General features: G+C 50.6%; 2 protein-coding genes across 6 annotated transcripts in view, besides 1 other annotated feature; one reads left to right on the forward strand and one right to left on the reverse strand.

Moving 5' to 3' along the window:
* The window catches only part of CABLES1 (Cdk5 and Abl enzyme substrate 1), a 125,907-nt gene that overhangs the window by 109,826 nt on the left and 3,383 nt on the right, over positions 1-12,698 (forward strand). For all 4 annotated transcript variants that reach the window (NR_023359.2, NM_001256438.1, NM_001100619.3 and 1 more), the window contains 2 exons: positions 8,571-8,677; positions 9,340-9,547. Coding sequence is in view for 3 of the 4 variants with exons in the window: in NM_001256438.1 (NP_001243367.1) it covers positions 8,571-8,677; positions 9,340-9,547 (315 nt within the window). In the remaining variant the exon portion in view is untranslated. The remainder of the gene's footprint in view (positions 1-8,570; positions 8,678-9,339; positions 9,548-12,698) is intronic.
* The window catches only part of SLC35D4 (solute carrier family 35 member D4), a 199,440-nt gene that overhangs the window by 5,868 nt on the left and 180,874 nt on the right, over positions 1-12,698 (reverse strand). The gene's annotated exons all lie outside the window — the stretch shown is intronic.
* Positions 5,422-5,923: an enhancer, noted in NCBI's record as "H3K27ac hESC enhancer chr18:20829775-20830276 (GRCh37/hg19 assembly coordinates)". NCBI's record gives its function as "activates a minimal SCP1, AML or CMV promoter by ChIP-STARR-seq in naive H9 embryonic stem cells {active_cell/tissue: H9 hESC(naive)}" and the evidence as "EXISTENCE:reporter gene assay evidence [ECO:0000049][PMID:30033119]".

Consider the following 12,698-nt stretch of genomic DNA (forward strand, 5'->3'; position numbering starts at 1 on the left):
GGATTCGGTATTTTGAATTCGATGGGTAGAAATAGCAACAAATGCAGCCCCAGGCTGCGTAGGCTACCCGTTTATTTCCATAGTTTCCTTGTGATTTACTGTCCTCTAAGGGAAAGGATTAAATGCCTAGAACAGCTGAAATGCCCATCTGTTGGTGGTTAGATAGATTTAGTCGAGGGCCACCGTTGCTTAATTACCTTAACAAGCACGGAACAGCTGCTTTCCAGTGCCCAGCTGAGCCCGAATGCCGGTATACAAGTATGGCCAAAGCAAAAGAGCCTAATTTCGCAGTGGCTGTTGGCGCTGGAAGGAGCTGTGTGGCTCATTGCCTTGTATCCTTCCTTCCTTTCACAGGCGTGGTGTGGAACCAAGGCTTGCAGCGGCTGCATACCTGCCCCAGGTCTTACAGCTAGCTCCTGGGGTGCAGGCAGCACTAGGGCTGGCAGTAGGTCAGAGAACAGTGGCCGAGTGTACGGCAAGCTCACATCTGCTTAGAACTGCTCATAAGAATTCCTGGGGAAACTTGAAGACAGGAAAGTAGGAAATGAAGGAGGCCGGAGCTTTATCCGCCCTAGAGCGGAAGTACCTTTTCTGTTGTTTCTGTTGGAATCAGACCAACAACCTGTCTGCTCTGAGACCCTCACTGTTCTCCAGGATTGTTTTTGAGGTGTGTGTACCTCCCATCCCCTCCCGTTATACCCCAGCCCACCTGAGGGGCATTCACTTCACAGCATTGTTACCGTGGGCCAGGATGGGGCCCAAGTTCAGTTCCATGGAGGCCCCTTCCCTCTTCTCATGACAAGTCAAGACTTTGTTTTTGTACAAAGCAAAGGATGGGCCGGGCGTAGTGCCTCATGCCTGTAACCCCAACGCTTTGGGAGGCTGAGGTGGGCGGATCACTTGAGGTCAGGAGTTGGAGACCAGCCTAGCCAACATGGCGAAACCCCATCTCTACCAAAAAATACAAAAAAAATAGCCAGGCGTGGTGGCGTGCACCTGTAGTCCCAGCTACTTGGGAGACTGAGGCACGAGAATCGCTTGAACCCGGGAGGCGGAAGTTGCAGTGAGTGCCACTGTACTCCATCCTGGGCAACAGAGTCACCCATCCTGTCTCAAAAAAAAAAAAAAAAAGCGAAATAGGTATCAGTGTTTCTGCAGTCGATATGGGAGACTTTTCATCTGGATAACTAAGTTGTGGTCTTCTCTTTTCCTGTTATCTCAGAAGGAATTTGTCTACTCCCACTCTAGCCCTTCCAGACTGTCTCCAGCAGGGCAGGCCAGGCAGGGCCTCCTTGTGAACTGCATCTCTGGACATCTGTGTTGTGGACAGTGCCTTCCATCTGACCTTCTCCTTTCCCTGTACGCAGCTGTGCACACAGCTTCCCTGCAGCCAGGCATTCAAGTGCTCGACAGTGCATTCAAGTGACCTCTCGCTCCATGAGCGGAATGAGCACCCTTGCAAAAAACACAACTGCCTGCTGCAGGGTTAGAACCCCCCATCCATCACACAGCCTGGGCCTGCTGCGGGCCACAAGGAGCCCTTCATCTGGTGAATCCCATGGCCTGGAGTTAGGTGGCATTGAAAACAGTGGTCCCGGCCGGGCACGGTGGCTCACGCCTGTAATCCCAGCACTTTGAGAGGCCAAGGTGGGCAGATCACGAGGTCAGGAGATCGAGACCATCCTGGCCAACGGTGTAACCCTGTCTCTACTAAAAATGCAAAAATTAGCCGGGTGTGGTGGTGCACACCTGTTGTCCCAGCTACTCAGGAGGCTGAGGCAAAAGAATCGCTTGAACCTGGGAGGCAGAGGCTGCAGTGAGCAGAGATCACACCACTGCACACTCCAGCCTAGGTGACAGAGTGAGACTCCATCTCAAAAAAAAAAAAGAAAACAGTGGTCACTCAGACTGTCCCAGGCCAAGAAGGAGTCGCTGCTTGTTTAATTAGCACTTTGATTTACAGTAGCATGCACTGGCAAAACCCAGGCATTGCAAGTTTTTGTTTTTTGGTTTTTTTTTTGAGACGGAGTCTTGCTCTGTCGCCCAGGCTGAAGTGCAGTGGCAAGATCTTGGCTCACTGCAAGCTCCGCCTCCCGGGTTCACGCCATTCTCCTGCGTCAGCCTCCCAAGTAGCTGGGACTACAGGCACCCGCCACCACACCCGGCTAATTTTTTGTGTTTTTAGTAGAGATGGGGTTTCACCGTGTTAGCCAGGATGGTCTCGATCTCCTGACCTTGTGATCCGCCCACCTTGGCCTCCCAAAGTGCTGGGATTATATGCTTGAGCCACCGCACCCGGCCAGTTTTTTCGTTTTTGTTTTTGAGACAGTCTCACTCTGTCACCCAGGCTAGAGAGCAGTGGCACCATCTTGGCTCACTTCAATCTTCATCTCCCAGGTTCAAGCGATTCTTCCTGCCTTAGCCTCCCAAGTAGCTGAGGCTATAGGCATGCACCACCACGCCCAGCTAATTTTTGTATTTTTAGTAGAGACGGGGTTTTACCATGTTGGCCAAGCTGGTCTCGAACTCCTGACCTCAAGTGATCTGCCTGCCTCAGCCTCCTAAAGTGCTGGGGTTACAGGTAAGAGCCACCATGCCCAGCTTGCAAGTTTTTATAATTCATACAATTCAAACCTGAATAAAGCATTGGCCTGACTTTTCATTTCTTCAGTCCCACACCAGAAAGAATGAGTGGCTGAGGGGCTGTGGTAATCCCACTGCCGTGGCTCAATCTCCTAGTACAGCCTCCCCAGCTCACCCCCAGCACTAAAGAGAGGATGCCATCTCTTGGCATGGTTGGGAGGCCCGGCCTCTAAGGGCCACCATCAGGCTCCCTCAAGACAGGATGTGCCGGAGAATCATGACCTCCTGTACACCAGAGAGTGTTTCTCAGAAGGACCTGCAGCTGAGAGGACATCGAGGACTGTCATCCCCTCTGGAACCTGCCTGGAAAGGGTGGCCCTGGGCTCAGAGTGATCCGTCCAGTTTCCATACTCTGAACAGTGTGGGGCTGGTGCAGAGCAGTGGCCTCAAGATGCAGCTTATGTGCTGGGCCCCTTCCAAGCCAGGATCTGGCAGCCAGTGCCACTTTGGGGGTTGCCTGGTCCGCTGTGGCAGTTGTGTATCCCATGCAGCTGAGCGGGAGCAGGACACGGAACAGCCCCACAGATCAGGTGCCTGCCGCTGTCGACATCAAGTGGATGCTGGAGAAGCCAGAGGAGCAAACGGAGGCACAGAGCTCCTAACCAGTGTGCACTGGGCCGCCGGGCACCATGTGTCAGAGCTGGAGTTTGAATCCAGGACTCTGGCTCTTGAGCCTGTGTTCTTCCCCACTGAGCCGCAGCTCAGAGAAGCAGGGACAAAAGCAAGACTGAAGAGAGCACAGCAGACAGGAGGCCAGGACAGAAGGCCGGGATGCAGAAGAGTCTGTCACCTAGAAGATGACTGGAGAGCCTCGTCCTCCTGGTGCTGCCACATATTCCCCACTTACGCGGGGCCAAGCACTGGGCTCCCTGGGCCAAGGGTCTCGCAGCATCTGCTCATGGGCCCTCCCTGCCCACTCCCTGCCAGGGCCTAGCTTGGATTTTTCCCCGCCTCTCTGTCAGGAAACGGAGTCCCCAGCTGCAGACCCCAAGAGCTAGGACAAGGCTGCTTGTAAAAAAGACAGAGCCTCTCCCGCAAGACCCGGGCCAGAGTGGGCCTGGCGCGCTCTGCCACCCTTGCCCCCTCCAGAGCCGCAGGCTGAGCTGAGCTGTTGGCTCTCAGGGGTCCTCTAAATAAAAATGGGTCAGGGAGTGTGGCGCAGGGGCAGGGGCAGGACTCAGACTCAACGGATCGGATATCGTCAGTGCCTTTATGGGGATCAGAAGCTCTTTCTCTGTCCCCGCCTTCACCGAGCCAGGTTCAGTTTCAGTAGTGGTAAATGCAATCAGCAGAATACAGCGTGTGCAGCAGGCATGGTTCAGTTCTGAAGTGCAGCATCCACTCTAGCAAGTTTAAGAAGAAAGAGGAGCCGGTGCAGGGGCGCAGGTCTGCAGCCCCGACCACTCAGGAGGCAGAGGCAGGAGGATCACTTGGCCCAGGATTTAGCGTCCCACCTGGCAATGTAGCAAGACCCTATGTCTTTTTTTTTTTTTTTTTTTTTTTTTTAAAAAAAGGCTGGACGTGGTGGCTCATGCCTGTAATCCCAGCACTTTGGGAGGCCGAGGCGGGTGGATCACTTGAGGCCAGGAGTTTGAGACCAGCCTGACCAACATGGTGAAACCCCATCTCTACTAAAAATACAGCTGGGTGGGTGTGGTGGCGCATGCCTGTAATCCCAGCTACTTGGGAGGCTGAGGCAGGAGAATCGCTTGAACCCAGGAGGCAGGGTGTGCAGTGATCTGAGATCACACCATTGCACTCCAGCCTGGGCAACAAGAGCGAAACTCCATCTCAACAAAAAAGAAGAAGAAAGGTATCTAATAAACACCTTACTTACTAGAATCATTGAGGAGGCTGACAGAATAACCTAAGTTGGCATTTCAGGAATGATCCACAAGCCACACTGTAGAACTGTGCCACCCAGGAGGCTGCAGCTGCCTGGGACCAGGACTCTGGCTTTGGACTTGGGAAACTGGCGCTGGCACTGGCTGCTGGCTCCAGATCCGTGCTGCTCTGCTGTGCTCTACACCTGCCAAATGAGGACCCAGAAGCTTAGTGACAGGACTTGAGGATTCCTGCCCTGAGCCTCTTGGCAGCAGAAACAGCAGAACCACAGCCCTTGCTCCAGCCCTGCCTTCACATATCAGAGCATCCAATAGGAGGAGCCAGAATTGTTTTTGGAATCCTAGCTGCAAAGGAGTCAGGGAAGTGTAACTGTTAGCTTTCCAGCCTCCGTAGCACAACAGGGCATCCCAGGAGGAGGTTGGATGTTCAGATAATAGAGTAGAATGGAGGCGAGTCCTGGGGAGAAGCAGCCTCAGCCCCGGGGGTTTAGGAGGAGGAGCCTGCAGAAGTGGCCAAACCAGGAGTGGGCAATAGCCAGACAAGGAGAATCTGATTTGGAAGCCCTGGGTCTTTGGCACATAGAAATCAGCTGGAAAACTTGTCATGGTGCAGGTGCGAGGCCCCACCCTCAGAGACTGTGACTCAGTGGGGCTGGAGCAGAGTCCAGACTTGCTGCGTCTCCTGCTTTGTGCTCCTGATGAAATTTTTCAGCGTCTTTTACGTACGTTTTGTTCTCTTTGATCTTCAAGATAAACCTGGGAAGCAGCCCCATCAGGTTTTCTCATCTCATCTCGTTTTGGAGGATGAGGGTGAGGCTCAGGGAGGTTGAGTGACTTTCTCCCTGTTGCCTGATTTGCTGAAGGTGGACCTGACCCCCCGCCCCCGACAGCCCTTTCCACTGCTAGCGATCTTCTCGGACATCCTGGTGAGAGCCCTTGTCTAGGGAGCTACTCTGTGCTGCTTATTCAGTACCATGAAGGAGAGAAAAGCAGGAAGGCAGTGCATGGGGCACGAGCTGGAAGCAGCCACTCTGGGAGACCAGGATCCCAGCGCTGGCCCCTGCCTGCGGCTCACTCAGGTCTGGGGTGAGCCTTTTCACTTTTCTGAGCCTCTGTTGCAAACAGAGGTGGGACACATTTGTATATTTGCACATTTAAGCAGTGAGAGCTCTCTTTCAAGGGAAGTGTTATATCTACAAATAAGATGGAGCAAAGCAGAGCTGCTGTGGTTGCTGCGAGGAGAGATCCAGTCCCCTCCCACAGGCACTTCAACAGAACCCAGCCTGAAAATCCACATGATCGTTAAGCAGCAGGATATCCTTGCTGGTGCTCACAGGGCGTCAGGCCCCCAACAAAGGCAGATGACTTTACTTGAGCCTGCTCACATCATTGCAAACCTCATGACTTTCCTCTGTAGAGGAAGAGTAGAAGCGGCCTGTCTCTGGGAGTTCAGGGTGCCTGGATTGGGGGGTGAGGGGTTGAGAAGCTGGAGGAAGGTGCTGATGACTTGGGAAACAGGAGGGTTGGCTGATGGGCCCTCCCAGCTTGAGGCGAGCATGTTAGATGTGGCCCCCATTCTACTGCCTATTTCCAAAATGAAATCTTACGTCCCCTTCAACCCAGAGATTTAACCCAGAGGAGACATTTGTTGGAGATGAAATAGAGCCTTTCTTAAAAGTAGAAGGGAAATAAACCTGTCTTGGAGGGCTGCCACAGGGGTCCACTCTGCTGGACCTTGGCAGTGAGAGCAGTGTCCAAATACTGTGGCCCTGCACAGCTGGGCTGCCCCTTTCCTGGTCCTTGCAGGGCATGTGGTTAGCCGGGACCAGAATGGCCACATCTGGACCAGGTCAGGAGACCTTCCTGATTGGGCCAGAAAGACTATGTATCAGAGGAGGAAGAAGTGGCATTGCATCCACCAAGTCCTCTTCCAGCCAAGTGTTCGAAAACTCTGAACAGGTCTGGTGGAATTGTTGGAGTTAATATTGCTGTGCTTTGCCTTTATTCACCAGAGAAGCAAAGAGAGGACCATCAAGATCACTTGAACGGGGATGTGCTGGCTGCTTGCCTCCTCCTTGCTACTAACTGACACCAAAGACATTGTACATGTCTGTGCTAAAATCCTGTGTCCTATAAATGGAGGTGTCCAGAGAAAGCCACCAACTTCCATTAGAGCTGTTAAGGAAACCTTTGATGGGCTTTGCGGGCATGAGTCATCCAGGGAATCGACCTTCACATCAAAATCTGTCATTTCTTCTTTCCTGAGCTTTGACTGATTAAGATTATGGCATGTAGGCCGGGCACGGTTGCTCATGCCTGTAATGCCAGCACTTTGGGAGGCAGAGGCAGGTGGATCACCTGAAGTCAGGAGTTCAAGAGGAGCCCAGCCAACATGGCGAACCCCCATTTACTAAAAATACAAAAATTAGCTGGGCAAGGTGGCACATGCCTGTAGTTCCAGCTACTCGGAAGGCTGAGGCAGGAGAATTGCTTAAACCCAAGAGGCGGAGGTTGCAGTGAGCCGAGATTGCGCCACTGTACTCCAGCTTGGGCAACAGAGCATGACTCCGTCTCAAAAAAAATAAAAAAAGATTATGGCGTGTAGTCAGCCAAAAAAGACCCAGCCTTGGCAAGTATACTCTCGAGGAGGGATGAGATGAACTGGAGGAAACCCAGAAAAAAATTGTTTAATTCAGAGTTCACAGTGCAGGGTACAGAGGAGCAAGGAAGACCAGGGTATTCAGAAAGGACTCCAAGGATCCTTTAAGGATTTCTCCAATTTAGAAAGAGGGAAGGAGGGAGGAGGAAACTCAAGTTTCCAAAGACTTACTGGTTACCATTATATACATATGGTGGCATGTTGTTCAACCTTAAAGGAAATTCTGACACATGCTACAATGAGATTGACCCTTGAAGACTCCATAGTAGGCCAGGCGCGGTGGCTCACGCCTGTAATCCCAGAACTTTGGGAGGCCGAGGCAGGCAGATCACCTGATGTCAGGAGTTCGAGACCAACCTGGCCAACATGGTGAAACTCAGTCTCTCTTAAAAATACAAAAATTAGCTGGGTGTGATGGTGGGCGCCTGTATTTCCAGCTACTCAGGAAGCTGAGACAGGAGAATCGCTTGAACCCGGGAGGCGGAGGTTGCAGCGAACCAAGATTGCACCGCTGCACTCCAGCCTGGGCAACAAAGTGAGACTCCGTCTCAAAAAAAAAAAAAAAGACTCCATGCTAAATAAAATAAGCCTATGACAAAAGGACAAATAGACGATTCCACTTACATAAGGCAAATTTATAGAGACATAAAGTGGAGTAGTGGTTGCCAGGAGCTGGAGGGAGTGGATGGGGAGTTGGCATTTAATGGGCAGAGTGTTTCAATTGGGAAGATGAAAAGATTCTGTGGACAGATGGTGGTGAGGGCTGCACAACTATGCGAATGTTCTTAATGCCACTGAATGGTACGCCTAGAAATGGTTAAGATGGTAAATTGTATGTGATGTGTATTTTACCACCATTTAAAAAACTAAAAGAACATTAGCTAACATGTATTGAGCACTTGCTGTAGGCCAGGCACTGTACAGGGCACTTCTCATACAGTTCTCAGAAAGCTGCGTGAAGTAGGCACTGTTACTGTTTTTTGTTTACAGACATGGGACTTGAGATTTGGGGTGATTTGAAGTCTCCCAAAGCCGTCAGACTAGTGAATGGTCAAGTGGAGATTGAACCCAGGTCTGTGCACATCCAAGCCCCACGCGCTTAAGCCCCATACCGTGTGAACAGGCTGACACCTGGGAACTGACACAGGCACCCCTCCCTCTCAGGCACTGACTTCTGATGGTCTACAGGCCGGCTTTCCTAAGTGTCACCTCATCCTAATAGTGGTGACTTGTTTTCCGTTCGCCTCCAGAAGGCCACAGTCCCCTTCAGGCTCCTGGATTCCGCCGAGCCCTTGTTGTAGCTCCAATGCAAGTTTTCCCGTTGCTCATGGCTTTGGGAGTTGTAAGTTGGTCGTAGTTGGTGCATAATTATTACATACGACCCTTGTTTTAAGGAGTGATCCGTGTTCCCCTGTCTGTTACAGACAACAGTGATTGACTACGTGAAGCCCTCGGATCTCAAGAAGGACATGAACGAGACCTTCAAGGAGAAGTTTCCTCACATTAAGCTGACACTCAGCAAAATTAGGAGGTACGGGAGGCTGGACTTGCCTGTGACCTTTCCCTGCAAACCCCTCTTTCCACACACCGTAAGCTTGTCATCTGTCCAGTGGTCCTTCCTGTGGTTCCAGTGATTGAGTCATTGTCACATTCAGCAGAAAGGACAGCCGGGCATGGTGGCTCACACCTGTAATCCCAGCACTTTGGGAGGCCGAAGTGGGCGGATCACCTGAGGTCAGGGGCTTGAGACCAGCCTGGCCCACATGGTGAAATCCCGTCTCTACTAAAAATTTAAAAATTAGCCAGGCATGGTGGTGCACGCCTGTAAGCACAGCTACTTGGGAGGCTGAGGCAGGAGAATTGCTTGAACCCAGGAGGTGGAGGTTGCAGTGAGCCAAGATCGTGCCACTGCACTCCAGCCTGGAAAACAGAGTGAGACTCCATCTCAAAAGAAAAACAAAAAAAGTAAACATGTTTTATACGACCTGACCAACAGAGAAGAGGCCAAAGCCCAGCTATGTAAATCTGCTCCCCATGCATAACGCAGCCTTCACACTCCCAGGGACTTAATCCCAGTCCAGATCACCCTCTGGGAAAGAGAAAGAGAAAAAGCATTCAAGATGGGGGAGTTTTTCTGTCCACTGAAACTCTAAGTTTTCACAAGACTGTTCCCTCTTGCCTGTCTTTCTCCAGTCTGAAACGAGAGATGCGGAAGCTTGCGCAGGAGGACTGTGGCCTTGAGGAGCCCACGGTGGCCATGGCCTTCGTCTACTTTGAAAAGCTCGCCCTCAAGGGGAAACTCAACAAACAGAACCGGAAGCTGTGTGCTGGGGCATGTGTGCTGTTAGCAGCCAAAATTGGAAGTGACCTCAAAAAACACGAAGTCAAGCATTTAATTGACGTAAGTAGCCTTTTTCCTGGTGGCTGGAGGAGCACATGCTCCGGTCCGGGGTTCCTCTCTCAGAAGGATTCGGTCAGTGACCCTGCCTGGAAGGATTCTGATCCTTAGTCAGCAATTGAGGTGAAGGCTATGAAGTCTTTCCCATAGTGGGAATAGTCAGGCTATCTTAAAACATAGGGATGATCTACTTTGACAAGACCAAAGCTCCTCAGCATTGGGTCTGGCCCTCAAAGTCCATTCTCAGACACCATGTGAGATGCAATCATTCCCACAGCCATAGAAGCCACTGTACCTGCAAGGGATTCCCCCAGGCAGTGTGACCCACAGAGCATCTAATGTCAAACAGGTTGCTTCAGTAAGACCTTGGCTTCCTACTTCCTTAGCTGGCTCCTCTTTGGGGAAAGGCGTGAGTTTGACAAGGTGGTATCTCTTTTCTTTAAAAGGAGAGCCCTAGCAAAGCAAGGAAACATCGATCTCCTTGGATGGCTACATGAATGCCTGTTTTAGAATTCAATATATTAATAGAAAATTTTGAGGTACAGTAAAGCCAACTGATTAGAAGACAGATCCATTGAGAAGATAGTTTGTTACAGTTCCCAAGAGGAGTAGTATCTTGGCTGGTGCTGCCATAACAAAATACCATAGGCTGGATGGCTGAAATGACAAATGTATTTCTCATAGTTTTGGAGGCTGGGAAGTCCAGGGTCAAGGGACCAGTTGCTTCAGTTCTGGTGAGGTTCCTCTCCTTGCTCATGGGCATCTTCTTGCCCATCCTTAATTGCAGAGAAAGACAAAAAGCAAGCACTCTGGTTTCTTCTTCTAAGGCTCTGAATCCCTTCACTCCATGCCCAGGACCTCATCTAGACCTAATCACTCCCAAAGGCCCCATCTCCTAATACCATCACATGAAGGATTAGGGCATCCACATACGAATTTGGGGGGACACAAACATTCAGCCCATAACAAGGGGCATGCCATGCTGTGGGGGCTGTGTATGGAAGCCCTGGAATTGGTCGGGAGGCAGAGGGAGCCTTGATTGTGGTTTTCACAGAAAGGAATAGGTAAGGCAGGGTTTGTGGGTTTAGGATTGGCTAGTTTGAATAGTTTTGATGGGCTGTGGGGCCTAGGGTCTGTCCCTAATTGTCTGGTGCCTGGCTCTGGGGTGATAAGGGCAGGTGGATAGTGGCCTGGAGTGTGAGGCCCATGGAGGAGGTGGTGGGAATGTGGCATCTGGATTGGTTGGTTTGCATTTGAAGAGCAAAAGGGGTCACTGTGGAGGATTTGGCTAACCCTGGGAAGGGCAGTCCCTCTAGAGTCAGCAAGGCCCCAGATATCAAAGCATCAGAATACAGAAAATAAAAGACATGGTTAAGTCAGTGCCCCCATATGTCTCACTTGTCTAGCTGTCTTCAGTGGCAAAGGCAAAAAAGCAGAAAGGGCACTAAGGTAGGTACTCCCCAATTGAAAAGAGTATTTTTTAGGTCGGCGCTTTACAGATTTTAAGAAATGGTACAAAATCATCTAGCTTATACAGTAAATACATGAACCCAGAAGTGACCATTGGACACCAACTCTGAGCTGAGAATCAGTAGGCTTATACAGACATCTGCTGAACTAATGATTTTTTTTTTTTTTTTTTTTGAGACAGGGTCTCACTCTGTCACCCAGACTGGAGTGCAGTGGCACAATCATAGCTCACTGCAGCCTCCACCTCCCAGACTCAAGCAATCCTCCCATCTCCGCCTCCCAAGTAGCTGGAACTACAGGCATGTACCACTGCGCCTGGCTAATTTTTTTTATTTTTTATAGAGACCAGGTCTTGCTGTATTGCCCAGGCTAGTCTCGAACTCCTGGCCTCAAGCTATCCTTTCACCTCAACCTCCCAAAGTACTGGGATTTTAGGCGTGAGTCACCATACCCGGCCAAGAATTAATGAATCTTTTGATGTAACAGATATTTATAAAATTATAAATAATATGCACATTTAATCATAGTTGAGCAATATACCACACAGCAAAAGCTGACTTTACCTTATTCAAGGTGCCTCTATCACCTGAACTACAAAATGCCCTTGGCCTTCCTTACATGGGGTGAGGCCTTCCTCACTATTGATGCAGAATATAACAGTAATGGTTTGACCAGCCACTTACGGTAGCAAGAAACCTAACTCAAGGTCTCATCCCAGTTATGATCTGAAAGCAGTCAACATCTGCTCTGTGGGTAGGATTTATTTTATTAAGACAAAAGCTGGGTTGACGCCAAGGCAGAATGTGCCTGAGCAAACATGAGGCCCTCCCTGTCCATCCCCACCTTGGTGGTTCTCCTTCCTTTCCAGCTCCAGCAGCCCCTCTAGTTGGGTGGGCACGCAAGATGCCACCAGGCTCAGCCCTGTTTAGATACACAGCAACTGTGTAGCACTGTGAAAGTGGAGACTTCCCGAGGACTTAGATCCTTGTAAGATGAAAGGACTGAACTACATAGAATCAGTGCACTCCCTTCTGAACTTACCACGTGGTTTTTATTGTCGTGCGTGGTTTGCTTTATTATTTTTATTTATTTTTTGAGACAGCATCTTGCTTTGTTGCCCAGGCTGGAGTTCGGTGGCACAATCTTGACTCACTGCAACCTCCACCTCCCGGGTTCAAGTGAGTCTCCTGCTTCAACCTCCCGAGGAGCTGGGATTACAGGCGCCCACCGCCACGCCCGGCTCATTTTTGTTATTTTTAGTAGAGACGACAGGGTTTCACCATGTTGCCCAGGCTGGTCTCAAACTCCCGACCTCAAGTGATCCACCCACCTCGGCCTCCCAAGGTGCTGGGATGACAGGCGTGAGCCACCACCGGTTTGCTTTATTTTCAGTCTTCCCTTTAAACCTGAATCACTTAGTTGCCACAGGTAGAGTTTGAGTCCCAGTTAGGGTGGACTCTTAGTGCTGCAATTGGCTACACATGTGACCCTGGCTAAGCTCTCTGACTTCTTGGAGCCCGTTTTCTCATCTGTAAAATAGAGATACGGAGCATGAACCATGTCATATTCCTGAGAGGATTAAATGATGTCATAAGATGTATGTGTGGTTCCGGGCAGCCCCTCGGGAAAGGAGCAGCTCCTTCACAACCAGGACCGAAGGCAGGAAGCACAGCCTGTGCCTCCC

Source organism: Homo sapiens, chromosome 18 (genome assembly GCF_000001405.40).
Source record: "Homo sapiens chromosome 18, GRCh38.p14 Primary Assembly".
In the NCBI taxonomy this organism is placed as follows: Eukaryota; Metazoa; Chordata; class Mammalia; order Primates; family Hominidae; genus Homo; species Homo sapiens.